At 48.7% G+C, this 19,076-nt stretch overlaps 1 protein-coding gene across 1 annotated transcript, besides 2 other annotated features; it reads right to left on the reverse strand.

Moving 5' to 3' along the window:
* Positions 2,098 to 2,392: an enhancer, noted in NCBI's record as "tiled region #12316; HepG2 Activating DNase unmatched - State 1:Tss". NCBI's record gives its function as "activates a minimal TATA promoter and a strong SV40 promoter by Sharpr-MPRA in HepG2 cells {active_cell/tissue: HepG2}" and the evidence as "EXISTENCE:reporter gene assay evidence [ECO:0000049][PMID:27701403]".
* Positions 5,558 to 6,059: an enhancer, noted in NCBI's record as "H3K27ac hESC enhancer chr1:16130189-16130690 (GRCh37/hg19 assembly coordinates)". NCBI's record gives its function as "activates a minimal SCP1, AML or CMV promoter by ChIP-STARR-seq in primed H9 embryonic stem cells {active_cell/tissue: H9 hESC(primed)}" and the evidence as "EXISTENCE:reporter gene assay evidence [ECO:0000049][PMID:30033119]".
* On the reverse strand, positions 9,238 to 9,513 carry UQCRHL (ubiquinol-cytochrome c reductase hinge protein like). Its single transcript, NM_001089591.2, has one exon. It carries the CDS (start codon positions 9,511 to 9,513, stop codon positions 9,238 to 9,240), a length of 276 nt encoding a protein of 91 aa, NP_001083060.1.
* Between the last annotated feature and the right edge of the window lie 9,563 nt (positions 9,514 to 19,076).

Consider the following 19,076-nt stretch of genomic DNA (forward strand, 5'->3'; position numbering starts at 1 on the left):
GGAAAGCCCTGTTCTGGCAGTCAGGACACCCAGGGCTTGGCCACTAACCAGCTGTGTGAGCTCGGCCGGTCTCACACCCTCTCTGGGTTATGGATTCCTGAGGAATCCATAAACACGCAAGGATTCCTCAGGAAAACACAATACGGGCCGGGCACGGTGGCTCACGCCTGTAATCCCAGCACCTTGGGAGGCCGAGGCAGGTGGATCACCTAAGGTCTGGAGTTTGAGACCAGCCTGGCCAACATGGTAAAACCCCATCTCTACTAAAAATACAAAAAATTAGGCCAGGAGCGGTGGCTCATGCCTGTAATCCCAGCACTTTAGGAGGCCGAGGCAGGCGGATCACCTGAGGTTGGGAGTTCAAGACCAGCCTGACCAACGTGGAGAAACCCCATCTCTACTAAAAATACAAAATTAGCCGGGGTGGTGGCACATGCCTGTAATCCCAGCTAGTCGGGAGGCTGAGGCAGGAGAATCGCTTGAACCCAGGAGGCGGAGGTTGCAGTGAGCCGAGATTGCGCCATTGCACTACAGCCTGTGCAACAAAAGCGAAACTCCGTCTCCAAAAAAAAAAAAAAAAAAAAAAATTATGGCCTGCCGTGGTGGCTCATGCCTGTAATCCCAGCACTTTGGGAGGCCGAGGCGGGCAGATCACCTGAGGTCAGGAGTTCGAGACCAGCCTGACCAACATGGAGAAATCCCGTCTCTACTAAAAATACAAAATTAGCCGGGCATGGTGGCTCATGCCTGTAATCCCAGCTACTCGGGAGGCTGAGGCAGGAAAATCGCTTGAAACCAGGAGGTGGAGGTTGCAGTGAGCTGAGATCATGCCACTGCACTCCAGCCTGGGCAACAAGAGCAAAACTCCATCTCAAAAACAAACAAACAAACAAAAAACACAATACGACCCAGGAATCCTGAACTGGTCCTTTACAGTTAGCAGGATCCCAAACTTCAGACCACAGGGAGGGGCTGGCTGAAGCAGGAGAGAAACCCATGAGGGGTCACCCTGAGGGCCCAATCAGAAGGCACATGGGGGGTCAGGGAGGGTTAAGAATGCTCTCTGGGGCCTGTGAGTCATGGGCCTGGCAGCTTGGGGTTTCCCAAGACTGCTCAGACGGGCTGTGGCATGCAGGGAGCTCAGCCAGAACCTCCCTTGCAAATCTGCACCCTTTCCCCCAGCAACCCCCCCGCTTCCAGCACCCCTCTGACCAGCAACCCCTCCTTGGCAAGGTAGAACTCCCAATGGCCCACCCTGAGATGGCTTCAAATCAAGTCCCACGGGCAGAAAGCAAACAGTGGCTCCACTCCAGTGTGCCTAGAGATCCCGCTTCATTCATTCATTTGTTCATTCATTCACTCACTCTTTAATAAAATACTCATTGACCCCTCCCATCTGCCAGTCACTGCCCTTGGCACAGAGCTCAGTTTAATGGAAAAAGGAGAAAAGAGAACAGTCCGTGCTGGGGAGGCACAGCCAGGAGTCCAGGAGGGCAGGCCATGGAGAAAGTGATGTCAGAGCTGGGCCTAAAGGGTGTGCAGGGGTCAGCCAGGCGAGGCTCTGGAACAAGAGCTATCCAGGCGCTTGCTCTCTGAGCTGGGCACAGCTGAATGTGGCTGAGCATGTGGGAAGTGCAGGATGAGGGCCAGACTCAGGCAGGAACCAAAGCAGCAAGGCTTCCTAGACTCTGTGCCAGGATTGGGGCTTTTTCCCAGGGGGGCAACGGTGAGAAGGAAGAACCCCAAGCCAGTAGAACCCCAAGCCGGTAGAACCCCAAGCCGGTAGGGCAGATGAACTTGCCATAGAGTCCAACTGCCCATAACCACAGAGGTGGTGGCCGGGCCCAGAGAGGGTGTGAGACCGGCCGAGCTCACACAGCTGGTTAGTGGCCAAGCCCTGGGTGTCCTGACTGCCAGAACAGGGCTTTCCCACCCCTCCCACCGCCTCTCTTATCTTCCAAGACCTACTTGTAAACACAGGCAGGCACCTGCAAACATCTGATCACCTCTGCGAGGAGGAGGATGAAGGTGGGGGAATGAAGGCGTGCAGGTGAATCAGGTCAGTGTTGCTCATAGGCTGACCCAGTGCGGATGGTCCCGTCAGTGGCAAGGAGGGCAGGATTCTGCACGGGTGAGAGCACTTGCCCTAGGGGGATGCAGTGAGTCACTGGGTGCAAAGTTCACACTCCTCCTTCCTCCTGGCTTTGATCTGAGTTCCCTGGAGGGAGGTGCAGCCTGGATTCCTGGAGGCGGGGCCATCTCCTCTCCCTGCCCTGCCCTGTGGGTCCAGATTGGGAGGCCGGCTGTCTCCACTCCTCTCTGAACTCCCACACACACCTTTTCGAGGCCCTAGTAAGTTTCCATGTTGGCCTCACTGGCGGGGTCAGACTTGACCTATCACCTAGGACATTCGCTGCAGGAAGTTGGAAGCTTCCCTCTCCTGCTGAGCTCAGCCATGCGTCTTACTGCCTGGTGCCACATTCCGTTCCCTCCTGTCTCTGGGAGGATGATCAGATCTGGCAGAGAGCCCAGGCCTGCCCAACCAGCGGAACAAAATAAATGACCGCAGGGTGGGACTCCGCGGACACCAAGACACCAGGGAACTCTTGGACTGAGCACCAGAGGAACTAACCCCAGTAGCTGCCCCCGAGCAAGGACCTACTACTGATGCTGCCAACAGCCCCGGGAGACAGAAATATTATCACCCTTATTTTATAGAGAGGAGAAAAGAGGGGTGCAAGGGTCATGGGGACAGTGACTGATCCTGACATCCACTAAGGGCCCTCTTGGGTTTTGTGTCATGAGTTGAAAGGGAAGCAGCTGGCAAGGTGGTGTGACATTGAGCTGCGCAAGTGCAGGTGAGATGCGGTGGAGGTGGAGCAGTGGGACTGACCAGTGTTGGGGTTTTGTCAGGACCGCAGGAGGGGGTGGGGGTGGGGCCTGACCATGAATTGTAGGCTGGGCAGGAAGGACACGGAGGGCAGGCAGGCTGAGGGACATGCAAAGGGGGCAGGATCCATGGACTGCTGGAGCCGGGGCACTGGAGGAAAGAAATGAGGTGAGGTCAGAGAGGTCAGTCAATAGATATTATAGAGGAGGGGCAGTCACTGGTCACGGGGGACAGATACTGGGGTGGCACTGCTCCTAGGGTGTAAACCCTTGGCACATAGCCTGCATAGAACAGGCCCTCAGAGAGTATTTGTGGAATGAATGAGTGGCTACTTGCAGTCTGGGGTTGGGTGACTCAAAGGATATTTTACTTTCTTCTCTCTAGCTTTTTTTTTTTTTTTTCTGAGATGGAGTCTCACTCTATTGCCCAGGCTGGAGTGCAGTGGGGCAATCTTGGCCCACTGCAACTTCTGCCTCCCAGGTTCAAGCGATTCTCCTGCCTCAGCCTCCTGAGTAGCTGTGATTACAGGCACCCACCACTATTCCCACTAATTTTTGTATTTTTAGTAAATACGGGGCTTCATCATGTTGGCCAGGTTGGTCTCAAACTCCTGACCTCAGGTAATCTGCCCACCTCAGCCTCCCAAAGTGCTGGGATTACAGGTGTGAGCCACTATGCCCGGCGGCCTGCTTTTATTTATTTATTTTTTTTAATAACAGCTTTACTGAGATATGAATCACACATACAAAATTCACCCTTTTAAAGCTTTCTTTTTTTTGAGACAGGGTCTCGTTCTGTCACACAGGCTGGAGTGCAATGGTGCGATCATGGCTCACTGCAGCCTTGACCTTCTGGGCTCAAGCCATCCTCCAGCCTCAGCCTCTTGAGTAGGCTGGACCATAGGCGCACACCATCTTGCCTGGATAACTTTTGATTTTTCTTTTTTTTTCTGTAGAGATAGGGACTCACTGTGTTGCTCAGGCTGGTCTTGCACTCCTGGGCTCAAGTGATTCTCCCGCCTCAGCCTCCCAAAGTGCTGGGATTACAGGTGTGAGCCACTGTGCCCAACTCTGATTTTTTTACAGTAAGCACATGATAAGGGAGGAGACCACCCCTCATATTGTCTTATGCCCAATTTCTGAATCCAAAGAAAGAAGTAGTAAAAACTAAAAGGCAGAAATGGAATCCACAGGCAGATAGCCCAGCACTGCACCCTGGGCCTGGAGTTAAAAATCAACCCCGACCTAACTCTTCTGTTATCTATAGATTTCAGACATTGTATGGAAAAGCGTCGTGAAAATCCCTGTCCTCTTCCTTTCCGTTCTGATTACCAGTGCATGCAGCCCCCAGTCACGTACCCTCTGCTTACTCAATCGATCACGACCCTCTCACGCGGACCGCCTTAGAGTTGTAAGCCCTTAAAAGGGACAGGAATTGCTCACTCGGGGAGCTCGGCTTTTGGAGACGTGAATCCACCGATGCTCCCAGCTGAATAAAGCCCTTTCCTTCTACAACTCGGTTTCTGAGGGGTTCTTGTCTGAGGCTCATCCTGCTACAATGATACTTTTCTAATATGAACCCATATATGTTTTTAAAATTCATTTTTCTAAAAAGTTAGGATAAATCCATGAGATAGAAAAATAATGGACCAAAACTTAGAGAAAAGATAACTACTGGCTGGGACCCAGGACTGTGGCCAGCCCTGGGCTGATTTGTGGTTTGAGCAAACCACTGCCCTTCCCAGAGCCTCGCCTGTGAGACGGGGGTTGGCAGAAGTGAGCAGGGCAGCAGCTAGGGATTGAGCTGAACTGATGGCATCTCAGGCTCTTCCCAGCCTTAACAGCTCAAGATTTTGGGGCAATCTGGATTCCCACACCTGGTGAGAGAAGCAAATTAAGGAGATGACCTGGTCTTTGGAGTTCTCTTCCCTAAGAGGATAAACACCACAATATTGACAGTCCAGGCAACAAGGCCAAATTCAACCCAGAACAATGTTTTAGGTCACACCATCTCTCATCAATCCCTAATTGAACTGAAGGTATTTAACACCTTATCTGTCTTTTTTTTTTTTTGAGACGGAGTCTTGCTCTTGTTGCCTAGGTTGGAGTGCATTGGCACGATCTCGGCTCACTGCAACCTCTGCCTCCTGGGTTCCAGCAATTTTCCTGCCTCAGCCTCCCAAGTAGCTGGGATTACACGCTTCCACCACTGCGCCCGGCTAATTTTTTCTTTTTTTCTTTTTTTTTAGTAGAGATGGGGTTTCTCCATGTTGGCCAGGCTGGTCTTGAACTCCTGACCTTGTGATCCTCCCGCCTTGGCCTCCCAAAGTGCTAGGATTACAGGCATGAGCCACCGTGCCCAGCCTTATCTGCCATTTTTTATCTTCCATTCTAAACCAGTCCTTCTCAAACTGAAATGTGCATACAAATCACCTGTGAATCTTGTTAATATGGAAATAATCAATAGGTCTGAGGTGGGACCTGAAATTCTACAATTCTAACAACCTCCCAGCAGATGTCAGTGTTGCTGGTCCCCAGACCACTATTTAAATATCAAGGCTCAGCTGGGCACCGTGGCTCACGCCTGTAATCCCAACATTTTGGGTGACCAAGGCGGGAGGATTATTTGAGCCCAGGAGTTCCAGACCAGCCTAGGCAACATCAGTGAGACTCTGTCTCTACAAAAAACAAAAATTAGCCAGGTACAGTGGCATGTACCTGTGGTCTCAGCTACTCAGTAGGTGGGAGGATCCCCTGAGCCTAAGAGTTCGAGGCTGCAGTGAGCTGTGATCGCATCACTGCTCTCCAGTCTGGGCTACAGGGTAAGACCCTGCCTCGAAAGAAAAAAAAGTGACAAAGCAGCATCCCTTTGTCACAGAGAAAACCTGGAAACTCCATTGTACTTCACGGAATTGCTAAAAGACGACACCAGACCATATAGGCTGCCTTCCTATTAACTTTTCCTTTTTTTTTTGAGATGAAGTCTCACTCTGTCACCCAGGCTGGAGTGCAGTGGCTCGATCTCGGCTCACTGCAACCTCACCGCCTCCTGGGTCTAATCAATTCTCCTGCCTCAGCCTCCCGAGTAGCTGGGACCACAGGCAAGCGCCACTACGCCTGGCTAATTTTTGTACTTTTAGTAGAGATGGGGTATTGGCCAGGCTGATCTTGAACTCCTGACCTCAGGTGACCCACCCGCCTCGGCCTCCCATTGTGTTGGGATAACAGGCGTGAGCCACTGAGCCTGGGCCCTATTAACTTGTCTGTCACCTGTCATCTCCCTCTTGTCTTTCATTACTACTTGCTTGTTGTCTATCGTGTGTCCCCTCTACTGCAATGAAAATCCTTTGAAGGCAAGGGCACTGCTGGGTCCCTAGCTGCTGAGCACATATTTAAGGGCTAACTAAATATTTGTTGGATGAATGAACCTCAACATTTTGAGGTAGTAAGTAAAAAAGCAAGTGACAGAATGGTATGCAGGCTTTTTTTTTTTTAGAAGTCTTGCTCTGTCACCCAGGCTGGAGTGCAGTGGTGTGATCTCGGCTCACTGCAACTTCTACCTCCCAGGTTCAAGTGATTCTCCTGCCTCAGCCTCCAGAGTAGCCAGGATTACAGGCGTGTGCCACCACACCTGGCTAATTTTTGTATTTTTAGTAGAGATGGAGTTTTGCCATGTTGGCCAGGCTGGTCTCAAACTCCCAACCTCAAATGATCTGCCCACCTTGGCCTCCCAAATTGCTGGGATTTCAGGCATGAGTCACCGCACCCAGCCCCATTTGTGTTTTTTAAAAGTTTGAGGCCAGGTGTGGTGGTTCACACCATTAGTTCTTTGGGAGAACTGTTTGAGGCCAGGAGTTCGAGACCAGCAGCCTGGGGAACATAGTGAGGTCCTGACTGAAAAAGTTTTTTCTTTTTTTTTTTTTTTGAGACGGAGTTTCATTCTTGTTGCCCAGGCTGGAGTGCAGTGATGCGATCTCAGCTCACTGCAACCTCTGCCTTCCGGTGGTTTCAAGCGATTTTCCTGCCTCAGCCTCCCGAGTAGCTGGGACTACAGGCACACACCACCACGCCCAGCTAATTTTTTGTATTTTTAGTAGAGACGGGGTTTCACCATGTTGGTCAGGATGGTCTCGATCTCCTGACCTTGTGATCCGCTCACCTCGGCCTCCCAAAGTGCTGGAATTGCAGATGTGAGCTACCGCGCCTGGCCAAGTTTTTTTCTTAATTAAAAAGGGCCAGGTGTGGTGGCAGCAGCTACCATTTTTTAGTATGTACATGCATTTGCTTTGTTTTGTTATGCACAGTGCCTGGTCATAATATATTTTTTAAAGAATAATGCCAGTGTGGTGGCTCATAATGCCAGTGTGGTGGCTCACACCTGTAATCCCAGCACTTTGGGAGGCCAACATAAGTGGACTGCTTGAGATCAGGAGTTTAAGAACAGCGTGGGCAACATGGTGAAACCCTGTCTTTACAAAAAATACAAGAAGTTAGTTGGGTACAGGCGTGGTAGCTCACACCTATAATCCCAGCACTTTGGGAGGCTGAGGTGGGCGGATCACCTGAGGTCAAGAGTTCGAGACCAGCCTGACCTACCTGGAGAAACCCCGTCTCTACTAAAAAAAAAATACAAAATCAGCCGGGCATGGTGGTGCATGCCTATAGTCCCAGCTACTTGGGAGGCTGAGGCAGGAGAATCACTTGAACCTGGGAGGCGGAGGTTTTGGTGAGCCAAGATCACACCATTACACTCCAGCCTGGGCAACAAGAGCGAAACTCCGTCTCAAAAAAAAAAACAAAAACAACAACAAAAAAAAACTCCCTTAAGGTGATGCTCCTGCGGCCAGAGTTGAGAGCCTCTTTTTTCTTTTCTTTTTTTTTTTTTTTTGCTCTCTGTTGCCCAGGCTGGAGTGCAGTGGCACAATCTCAGCTCACTGCAAGCTCCGCCTCCTGCGTTCACGCCATTCTCTTGCCTCAACCTCCCGAGTAGCTGGGACTACAGGCACCCACCACCACACCCGGCTAATTTTTTGTATTTTTAGTAGAGACGGGGTTTCACCGTGTTAGCCAGGATGGTCTCGATCTCCTGACCTCGTGATCTGCCCGCCTCGGACTCCCAAAGTGCTGAGATTACAGGCATGAGCCACCGTGCCCAGCCTGAGATTCTGTTTTAAGATGGCTTTTGATTTATTTTGATGGAGGTAATGTATCAATTTTTTTCCTTTATGGTCTTTATTTATTTATTTATTTATTGAGGCGGGGTCTCATTCTGTCACCCAGGTTGGAGTGCAGTAGCGAGATTTCTGCTCAATCGATCCTCCCACCTCACCCTCCTGGGTAGCTGGGATCACAGGCACATGCCACCGCACCCAGCTAATTTTTTGTATTTTTGGTAGAGACAGGGTTTCATGTTGCTCAGGTGATCCTCCTGCCTTAGACTCCCAAAGTGCTGGGATTACAGGCATGAGCCATCAAGCCCGGCCTGCATTTCCTTTTATCTTAAGAAACTTCTCTTCGGTTGGGCGAGGTGGTTCATGCCTGTAATCCCAGCATTTGGGAGGTTGAGGCAGGCGGGTCACCTGAGGTCAGGAGTTGGAGACCAGCCTGGCCAACATGGTGAAACCCCGTCTTTACTAAAAATACAAAAATTAGCAGGGCAAGGTGGCGGGCGCCTGTAGTCTCGGCTACTCGGGAGGCTGAGGCAGGAGAATCACTTGAACGCAGCAGGCAGAGGTTGCAGTGAGCCGAGGAGACGCCACTGCACTCCAGCCTGGGTGACAGAGTGAGACTCCATCTCATAAAAAAAAAAAGAAACTTCTCTTGTCTGTTTGTGGCTCGTACCCATAATCCCAACACTTTGAGAGGCTAAGGCAGGCGGATCATCTGAGCCCAGGAGTTTGAGACCAGCCTGGGCAACATAGCAAGACTTCATCTCAGAAAAAATTAAAAATGAATAAGTAAATTGTTTAAAAAAAGAAAAAAAAAATTTTTTTTGAGACAGAGTATTGCTATGTCACCCAGACTGGAGTGCAGTGGCATAATCTCAGCTCACTGCAACCTCCACCTCCTGGCGTCAAGGGATTCTCCTGCCTCAGCCTCCCACGTAGCTGTGATTACAGGCATGTACCACCACACCCGGCTAATTTTTTTTTTTTTTTGCAGATCACAGAACTTTTATTTAGATGGAATCACTGCGAATTACATAGAAGCTACCAGCCTAAGCCAAAACCCACGAGGTTCATGTGAACTTACAGTTACACAAATAAGAAACAAATGGTACATCCGAAACCATAAGGAAATATTCTGATGCCCAGATGATGAAGGCTGGGGTGAATTAAGTCCACACATTTATTTCAAGTTGTTAAAGAGTTTGTGGGCCACGCAATGGTCCTTTGCATGCAAGAAGTCAAAGAGCTCCTCCGTGCAATCCTCTTCTGTATGTGATCGAGAGGATACATGCTCATCATAGAGCTCTAGCCGCTCCCGGGCCTTTACACATTTCTCCAACTGCTCGCATTGCTCTCTCACTGTTGTTAGGGGATCCACTAATTCCTCCTCTTCCTCTTCCTCCTCCTCAGGATCTCCGGATTCGGTAAGCATCTTTTGCTCGTCCTCCAGTCCCATGTCTGGCTACGGTTCTAGATTTAACACGAGCAGCAACAGCGGCACCTCAATTTTTGTATTTTTAGTAGAGATGGGGTTTCACCATGTTGGCCAGGCTGGTCTCAAACTCTTGGCCACAGGTGCTCCGCCACTGAAAGTGCTGGGATTACAGGTGTGAGCCACCGTTCCCGGCCAGAAACTTCTCTTTATCCTGAGCTCTTAACAATCATCTCCTATAATTTCCTGAAAGTATTAAAGTGTCACTTTCAGCTGGGCGAGGTGGCTCAAGCCTGTAGTCCCAGCACTTTGGGAGGCCGAGGAGGGCGGATCACTTGAATCCAGAAGTTCAAGATCAGGCTGGGCAACATGGTGAAACCGCATCTCTACCAAAAATACAAAAATTAGTCAGGTGTGGTGGTGGGCCCCTGTAGTCCCAGCTATTTGGGAGGCTGATGTGGGAGGATAGTTTGAGCCTGGGAGGCAGAGATCACAGTGAGCAGAGATCATGTCACTGTACTCCAGTCTGGGTGACAGAGAGAGACCCTGTCTTAAAATAAAATAAAATAAAAAATAAAGTGTTGCTTTCATATTTAATATCTTGACTTTTTTTTTTTTTTTGAGCTGGAGTCTCGCTCTGTCACCTGGCTGGAGAGCAGTGGTGCGATCTTGGCTCACTGCAACCTCTACCTCCCAGGTTCAAGCGATCCTCCTGTCTCAGCCTCCCAAGTTTGCTCACTAGTTCATCCTTTGCCCCCAGTCAGCAAAGTCATGTGTGTGGTGCCTCAAGTTTCCGTAGTGGTGTGGATCTGCAGTGGGGCTGCTTTTCCTGACCTATTGGCCAGGCTTACCTTTCTGTAATTAATTGTTTGTTTGTTTTTTGAGACAGAGTCTTGCTCTGTCACCCCGGCTGGAGTTTAGTGGCGTGTTCTCGGCTCACTGCAACCTCCACCTTCCAGACTCAAGCGATTCTTGTGCCTCACCCTTCCGAGTACCTGAGACTACAGGCATGCGCCACCACGCCCAGCTAATGTTTTGTATTTTTAGTAGATACAGGGTTTCACCATGTTTGACCAGGCTGGTCTCAAACTCCTGAGCTCAGGCAATCTGCCCGCCTTGGCCTCCCAAAGTGCCAGGATTACAGGCGTGAGGCACTGCACCTGGCCACCTTTCTGTAATTAATACTGATAGTTTGTGTAATACATTTTATTTTTCCATGGAAAACACGCACACACACACGCACGCACACTACTGTCAAGAAAAACTCTGAGGCTCATTCACCCAGATTTGTGATTGTTAACTGGTGTTAAAATGATGTCACCTGGAGGCTTTTTTGAATTTATCAGGACTCACACTTAATGCAAAAGGAAGAAAGCTCTCTCAGGTGAGACAGCCATGGAGTGGGAGGGTGCAGGAGGAGGCCAACATCATCAGCAAGGATCCCCTGCAAACATGCCGCCCAGGAGGCAAGGCCTGTTTGGCATGTAGACCAGTCCTAGTCCACAGGTAAACATTCCATGCACTGGGGCAGAGGGGACTTGAGGAATTTATTTACTTCTTTATTGGATGGAGGAGGGTGGTGAGGGAAGAATGGGAAGTATTTGGTTCACCCCTGCCATTTATCCTGGGATTCCTGGCATCTGAGGAATCTGCATCCATACTGATTTGTTGACTCTGATTCTTTCTGTTTTTGTTTTGTTTTGTTTTTGAGACAGAGTCTCACTCTGTTGCCCAGGCTGGAGTGCAGTGGCACGATCTCCGCTCACTGCAACCTCTGCCTCCCGGATTCAAGTGATTCTCCTACCTTAGCCTCCCGAGTAGCTGGAATTACAGGCATGCACCACCATGCCCGGCTAATTTTTGTATTTTTAGTAAAGACGGGGTTTTGCCATGTTGTCCAGGCTGGTCTGGAATTCCTGACCTCAAGTGATCCACCCGCCTCGGCCTCCCAAAGTGCTGGGATTATAGGCGTGAGCCACCGCACCTGACTGACCCTGATTCTTTCTCCAGGGCCAAAATCGGCCTTTGCACAACAGAGGGTTTTTTTAATTTAATTTTTTTTTTTTTGAGACAAGGTCTTGCTGTGTCACACAGGCTGGAGTGCAGTGGCACAATCATGGCTCAAGTGATCCTCCCACCTCGGTCTCCCGAGTAGCTGGGACTAGAGGTACATACCACCACACCTCGCTAATTAAAAGAAAATATTTTTAGCAACGGGGATCTCACTATGTTGTCCAGGCTGGTCTCAAACTCCTGGGATCAAGTGAACCTCCTATTTCAGCCTCTCAAAGTGCTGGGATCATAGTCATGAGCCACTGCACCTGGCTTGGTTTTTAGACACGTGACTGTTTAGTGAAAACACGGCACTAGGCTTTTTGAAGCTAAATGACCTGGGTTTGAATGCTAGCTTTGCCAACCTTAATGACTTAGTTTAAATCTCAGTTTCCTCCCTAATGTGAGGATAACACTGCCTGCATCAAAGAGTTCTAACAAGCTGAAGTATTGGAAAGGGCTTTGTTAGCTGCAATGCTCCTGCCAAATGTTCTTCATAGCCTTTCCTAAGAGGAGGAAAAAAGAGAGATTTAAGTTTTGTAATTTGGTTGCCCTAAATAACAATGGGCAAGAGCTAAATCACAAGGCATAAGTGGCAGTGGACACAAGTTCGTTGGAAACATTCCCCAACATTTTTAGCCAAAAAGTTGTTCAGTTCTCTGTGTTCTCCCTCTTCTGCAACCTACACCCAGCCAAGGGCTGACTCAGTTTTAAGGGAGAAGTAGCATGAATTCAACAACATTGCATTCAGCATCCTCTATTCCTGCACTGAGCCTCTATTCTTTAGGTAAGGAGAGCCCCAGAATGAGAGGTCTTCAAAAGATGAAATCAGAAGTTGTCAGAGGCTGGGTGTGGTGGCTAACACTTGTAATCCCAGCACTCTGGGAGGCTGAGGCAGGTGGATCACTTGAGCGCGGGAATTTGAGACCAGCTTGGGCAACACGGTGAAACCCTGTCTCTATGAAAAATACAAAAATTAGCTGGGTGTGGTGGCATGCACCTGTAGTCTCAGCTGCTCGGGAGGCTGAGGTGAGAGGATCGCTTGAGTAGGGGAAGCAGAGGTTGCAGTGAGCCAAGAGTGAGTCACTGCACTCCAGCCTGGGTGACATAGCAAGACCCTATTTCAAAAGAAAAAAAAAGTTATCAGAGATTCATAAAGGGGATTCAGACATTAGGTGAGAAGTTTGGATGAGATAAACACTAAAATCTCTTCGAACTCCAAAATTCTATACAAAAGAGTTCCTCTCAAAGTGTATCATCTAGTGGGGAAGATAAAACCTGAACAGGCCGGGCCCGGTGGCTCATGCCTGTAATCCCAGCACTTTGGGAGGCTGAGGCAGGCAGATCACGAGGTCAGGAGATCGAGACCATCCTGGCTAACACGGTGAAACCCCATCTCCACTAAAAATACAAAAAATTAGCCGAGTGTGGTAGCGGGTGCCTGTAGTGCCAGGTACTCTGGAGGCTGAGGCAGAAGAATGGCGTGAACCTGGGAGGCGGAGCTTGCAGTGAGCCGAGATCGTGCCACTGCACTCCAGCCTGGGTGACAGAGCGAGACTCCATCTCAAAAAAAAAAAAAAAAATGTCATATAGTGATAGAAATAGTCATAGGGTATCCAGATGAAACTCTGGCTGTACCTAAGGCATGAACACTCATCAGGGCAAGCCAGTGTGGTCTGGCTGGAAAAGGGATGCTATTGGGAGGTGACTAAGCTGAGAGTGGGGAGGCTGGGGAGATTCATTGTACTGAGTGCCTACTGCCAGATATTCTGGAGCTTTTATCCCAGTGGGAGATGCAGACAAAAACAGGTAAACAAGAGAATGCAGATAGAAGTAAGAAAAATAAGGCAAGGGAAAGAATGGAGGGGAGGGACACGTGAAACTAGTTGCAAGTGATATGAAGGAGCCTTCCGTGTGCAGAATTTGAGCATGGACCTTATGGGCAGAGGAAACAGCATAGATAAAGTCCTGAGGCGAGCGTAAGCATTGTGTATTTGAATAACCATTGCGAGGAACAGTGACTATTTTTCTACTAGATGAGATGTGTGGGTTTCTCCCATCTAGGCACTTCCTTGGAGCTGACTAGAGAACAGATACGGCTTTTTTTTTTTTTGAGACAGAGTCTCGCTCTGTTGCCCAGGCTGGAGTGCAGTGGCGCAATCTCGGCTCACTGCAACCTCCACTTCCCGGGTTCAAGCGATTCTCCTGCCTCAGCCTCCCGAGTAGCTGGGATTACAGGCACGCACCACCATGCCCGACTAATTTTTGTATTTTTTTTAGTAGAGATGGGGTTTCACCATGTTGGTCAGGCTAGTCTCGAACTCCTGACCTCAGGTGATCTGCCTGGCTCAGCCTCCCAAAGTGCTGGGATTACAGGCATGAGCCACCACGCCCGGCCACAGATATGGCTTTATAAGTCAGCCAGTGTGACTTGGGACAACTAAAGTTGGAAGGCTTCAGCCAGCTGTCATTAAAGGAAGGGTGGGCCCTTGGTCTGCAACTGCCAATTAAAGAGATTATAGGGTGACAGTGACAGCAACATTGCAACTGAAAGGGACAAGCAAAGCTTGCTAGTCAGTGTGAGCCTAGAGGTGGCTTAGAAGACAAAGGCGTCTCACATTATGCTCCCACTCACACACATACACCTTAGTTTTGTGAGGTGTGCAGGATAGTTTTCATCTTCATATTGCACCTGTGGAAACAGAAGTGAAATGACTTACTCAAGCCATATAGTAAGCAACCAGCTAGGCTAAGACCCAGTTTCCTCATCCCCAATCGACTGCTCTTCCCTTTATTTATTTATTTACAGACAGAGTCTCACTCTGTTGCCCAAGCTGGAGTGCAGTTCGAGGCTGCAATGAGCTATGATGGTGCCACTGCACTCCAGCCTGGGTGACACGCTACACTGGGCAACAGATCGAGAACCTATCTCTTACTAAAAAAAAAAAAAAAAAAAGGTAGAAAAAAGTCTGTTTGTGCCTTAACTCTATTCCACTCAAAATCTATGCCCAACTTGTCCTATTTTCTTTTCTTTTTTTTTTTTTTGAGGCAGCATCTTGCTCTGTCACCCAGGCTGGAGTGCAGTGGCACAATCTCAGCTCACTGCAAACTTTGCCTCCTGGGCTCAAGTGATGCTCCCAACTCAGCCATTCAAGTAGCCGGGACTATACCACCACAGCTAGCTAATTTTTTTTTTTTTTTTTTTTTTTGAGATAGGGTCTTGCTCTGTCGCTCAGGCTGGAGTGCAGTGGCACATTTTTGGCTCACTGCAACCAGTGGCACATTCTTGGCTCACTGCAACCTCTTGCTCTTGGGTTCAAGTGATACTCCTGCCAGCTAATTTTTGTATTTTTTACAGGCATGATCCACCGCACCTGGCCTGAGACTCCATCTCCACAAAAAAAAAAAAAAAAAAAAATTAGCCAGGCATGGAGTGGGCGCACCTCCTCGGGAGGATGAGGTAGGAGGATAGGTTGAGGCCAGGAGTTCAAGGCTGCAATGAGCTATGGTGGTGTCACTGCACTCCAGCCTGGGTGACAGAGCAAAATCTTGTCTCCAGAAATAAATAAATTAAAATAAAATTGCATAAGATTATATTCTAAGTAGGCCGGGCGCAGTGGCTCACACCAGTAATCCCAGCACTTTGGGAGAGTGAGGCGGGTGGATCACGAAGTCAGGAGATCAAGACCATCCTGGTTAACATGGTGAAATCCCGTCTCTACTAAAAATACAAAAAATTAGGCGGGCGTGGTGACCGCACCTGTAGTCCCAGCTACTCGGGAGGCCGAAGCAGGAGAATCGCTTGAAATGGGAGGCAGAGGTTGCAGTGAGCTGAGATTGTGCCACTGCACGCCAGCCTGGGCAACAGAGCGAGACGCTGTCTCAAAAAAAAAAAAGTTATATCGGAAGTACTGCCTGAAACTATTCAGTCCAGAAGTCAGAAGCTTTGGGCTTGGGCCAAATCTAGCATACTGCCTATTTTACTGATGGCCTGGGAACTAAGAATGGCTTTTATATCTTTTAAAAGGCTAAAAAAAAAAAATGACCGGCGCAGTGGCTCATGTCTGTAATCCCAACACTTTGGAAGTTCAAAGTGGGCGGATCACCTGAGGTCAGGAGTTCAAGACCAGCCTGACCAACATGGTGAAACCTCGTCTCTACCAAAAATACAAAAATTACCCAGGTGTGGCCAGGCGCGGTGGCACATGCCTGTAATCCCAGCACTTTGGGAGGCTGAGGCGGGTGGATCACGAGGTCAGGAGATCAAGACCATCCTGGCTAACACAGTGAAACCCCGTCTCTACTAAAAATACAAAAAATCAGCCGGGCGTGTTGGTGGGCGTCTGTAGTCCCAGCTACTTGGGAGGCTGAGGCAGGAGAATGGCGTGAACCCAGGAGGCGGAGCTTGCAGTGAGCCCAGATCGCACCACTGCACTCCAGCCTGGGTGACAGAGCGAGACTCTGTCTCAAAAAAAAAAAAAAAAAATTACCCAGGTATAGTGGCGTGCGCCTGTAATCCCAGTTATTCAGGAGGCTGAGGCAGGAGAATTGCTTGAACCCAGGAGGCAGAGGTTGCAGTGAGCCGAGATCATGCCACTACACTCTAGCCTGGGCAACAGAGTGATGTGGTCTCAAAAAAAAAAATCAAAATAATGTTGTGATTATTGTGAATAATTTGATTATGACAAGTAAAATTGTATGAAATTCAAAAATCTGTGTCCACACAAAAAAAGTTTTATTGGAATAATTTTTTATTTTTTATTTTTGGGAGACAGAGTCTTGCTCTGTTTCCCAGACTGGAGTGCAGTGGTGCAATCTTGGCTCACTGCTACCTCCGCCTCCCGGGTCAAGTGATTCTCCTGCCTCAGCCTCCTGAGTAGCTGGGATTACAGGCGCCTGCCACCAGGCCCGGCTAATTTTTGTATTTTTAGTAGAGATGGGGTTTCACTATCTTGGCCAGGCTGATCTTGAACTCCTGACCTTGTGATCCACCCACCTCGGCCTCCCAAAGTGTTGGGGTTACAGGCGTGAGCCACTGCGTCCGGTCTTTTTTTTTTTTGAGATAGAGTCTCACACTGTCACCTGGGCTGGAGTGCAATGGTGCGATCTCAGCTTACTGCAACCTCCACCTCCCAGGTTCATGTGATTCTCCTGCCTCAGCCTCCTGAGTAGCTGAGATTACAGGTGCACATCACCACATCCAGCTAATTTTTTGTTTTTTTAGTACAGATGGGGTTTCACTATGTTGGCCAGACTGGTCTCAAACTCCTGACCTCGCGATCCGCCCACCTCAGCCTCCCAAAGTGCTGAGATCACAGGCATGAGCCACCGCGCCTGACCTTTTTTTTTTTTTTTTTTTTTTTTTTTTTTTAAGACAGAGTCTCACTCTGTTGCCCAGGCTGGAGTGCAGTGGCACGATCTCGGCTCACCGCAACCTCCACCTCCCAGGTTCAAGCGATTCTGCTGCCTCAGCCTTCCGAGCAGCTGGGATTAGAGGTGTGTGCCCCCATGCCCGGCTAATTTTTGTATTTTTAGTAGAGACAGGGTTTCACCATGTTAGTTAGGCTGGTCTTGAACTCCTGACCTCAGGTGAGCCACTGGCCTCGGCCTCCCAAAGTGGGAATAAAACTTTTTCTCATTTGTTTATATATATATATTTTATGTCTGCATTGCACTCCAGTCTGGGCAACATGCGAGACTCCATCTCAAAATAAATAAATAATAAAAAATAAAATAAAAAAGCTTGCTGGCCCCTGGGCTGGACCAGTAGCTCCCCTTCTATTGATGGGAAATTTGAGGCACAGAGAAAATGAGTGGCCTAAGATCATACACAGAGTCAATGGCAGAAATAACTCTGGCTCCCTATTGGTGCTCTTTTCACTTCATTACCATATAAAAGCAGCTAAACAAAGGTTTCTCAGCTTCTCATGACAATGGCTACTTGGTCCTTTTATATGCCTCATCTCTGCTCATTCTCACTCTTGTCTAACCTAGGTTCTAGCAGCTGCACACAGATGCAGCTGTGACCTCGAGAGGGCAGCACTCGTTAAGATGACTCCAAAATACAATCTCTTATCTGAGACCCAAAAATAGAGTGAATATATCGTCCTGTCCTAACGAAAAAAAGAAAAATGCATTAGAAAGTGTCTCAACTGCTTCTGATGATGATATATATGCATTCACACCAGTGTAAATGTAAGAGGTTTTCCTTTTTTTTTTTTTTTTGACAAATTGTCAACAAAGGTGAATTCAAGCACAAACAATCCCCACATTTAGCTAGACTGGAAAGCACTGAGGCCACATCAGTGGCAAAGGCAAGACAGGCATTTGAGAGAACCACCCAGAGAAACTTTTTTTTTTTTTTTTTTTTGAGACAGAGTCTCGCTCTGTTGCCAGGCTGGAGTGCAGTGGCTCGATCTCTGCTCACTTCAACCAACCTCCGCCTCCCAGGTTCAAGCAATTCTCCTGCCTCAGCCTCCCAAGTAGCTGGAACTACAGGCACACGCCACCACGCCTGGCTAATTTTTTGTATTTTAGTAGGGACGAGTTTCACCATGTTGGCCAGGATGATCTCAATCTCCTGACCTCGTGATCTGCCTGCCTCGGCCTCCCAAAAGTGCTGGGATTACAGCTGTAAGCCACCATGCCCGGCCCCCAGAGATACTTTTAAGTGTTTCCTGAGCACTGGGGGAACATGAAGAGGGAGAAAATTAGATCTCAGAGAGCCCAAGGGACAGTTTTAAGTAGACTCGTGACCCAGGTTTGTCCTTTTCTGAGTAGACTAGAGGTTCCATCTCTTTATTCTGGGATGTCCAGTAATAAAATGGGGCTAGTAGGGCTTGCAAGCAATGAGGTATTTATGAAGTACAATTAATGTATGCAAAGGGCTTTGAGATCCTTCAGATTAAAAAGTGTCCTGTGCAGGTGCAAGATGGACTGGTGTTGCTGTGAGGGCAAATATATTTTGTGGGTGTTACCATTGTTGTTGAACAAGGCAGTGGGGGAAAAAGTAGTTAAGATTATGTGGCACGATCCTTCAACATGACCCAGAACTGGGCCATAGGAAACTTGTACAGACTATCACATCAGATGATGGAGAGAAACATCACTGAGAATGCATAAATCCCCGGAGGCAGAATGGTTAATTTCGTGAGGCACAGTCATGTCTAGACAAATCTGGTGGGGCTATTTAGAAAAACACATATGGTACTTCTGGCTTTACAAGGAAGGGGACCAAGTCACATTACTCAGCAAATATCTTTCCTTAGTCTGAACTTGGCTTCTAAGATTTTCTGAGAACTGAGCTTTTTTTTTTTCTTTTTTTTGAGATGAAGTTTCGCTCTTGTTGCCCAGGCTGGAGTGCAATGATGTGATCCCGGCTCACTGCAACCTCTGCCTCCCGGGTTCAAGCGATTCTCCTGCCTCAGGCTCCCAAGTAGCTGGGATTACAGGCGACCGCCACCACACCCAGCTAATCTTTTAAAAAATATATTTAGTAGAGACGGGGGTTCACCATGTTGGCCAGGCTGGTCTTG

The sequence above is a fragment of the Homo sapiens genome, chromosome 1 (genome assembly GCF_000001405.40).
Source record: "Homo sapiens chromosome 1, GRCh38.p14 Primary Assembly".
Lineage (NCBI taxonomy): Eukaryota > Metazoa > Chordata > Mammalia > Primates > Hominidae > Homo > Homo sapiens.

Coding starts and splice junctions, on each gene's coding strand:
- UQCRHL (NM_001089591.2), bottom strand. CDS start 9,513: ATGGGACTGGAGGACGAGCAAAAGATGCTTACCGAATCCGGAGATCCT.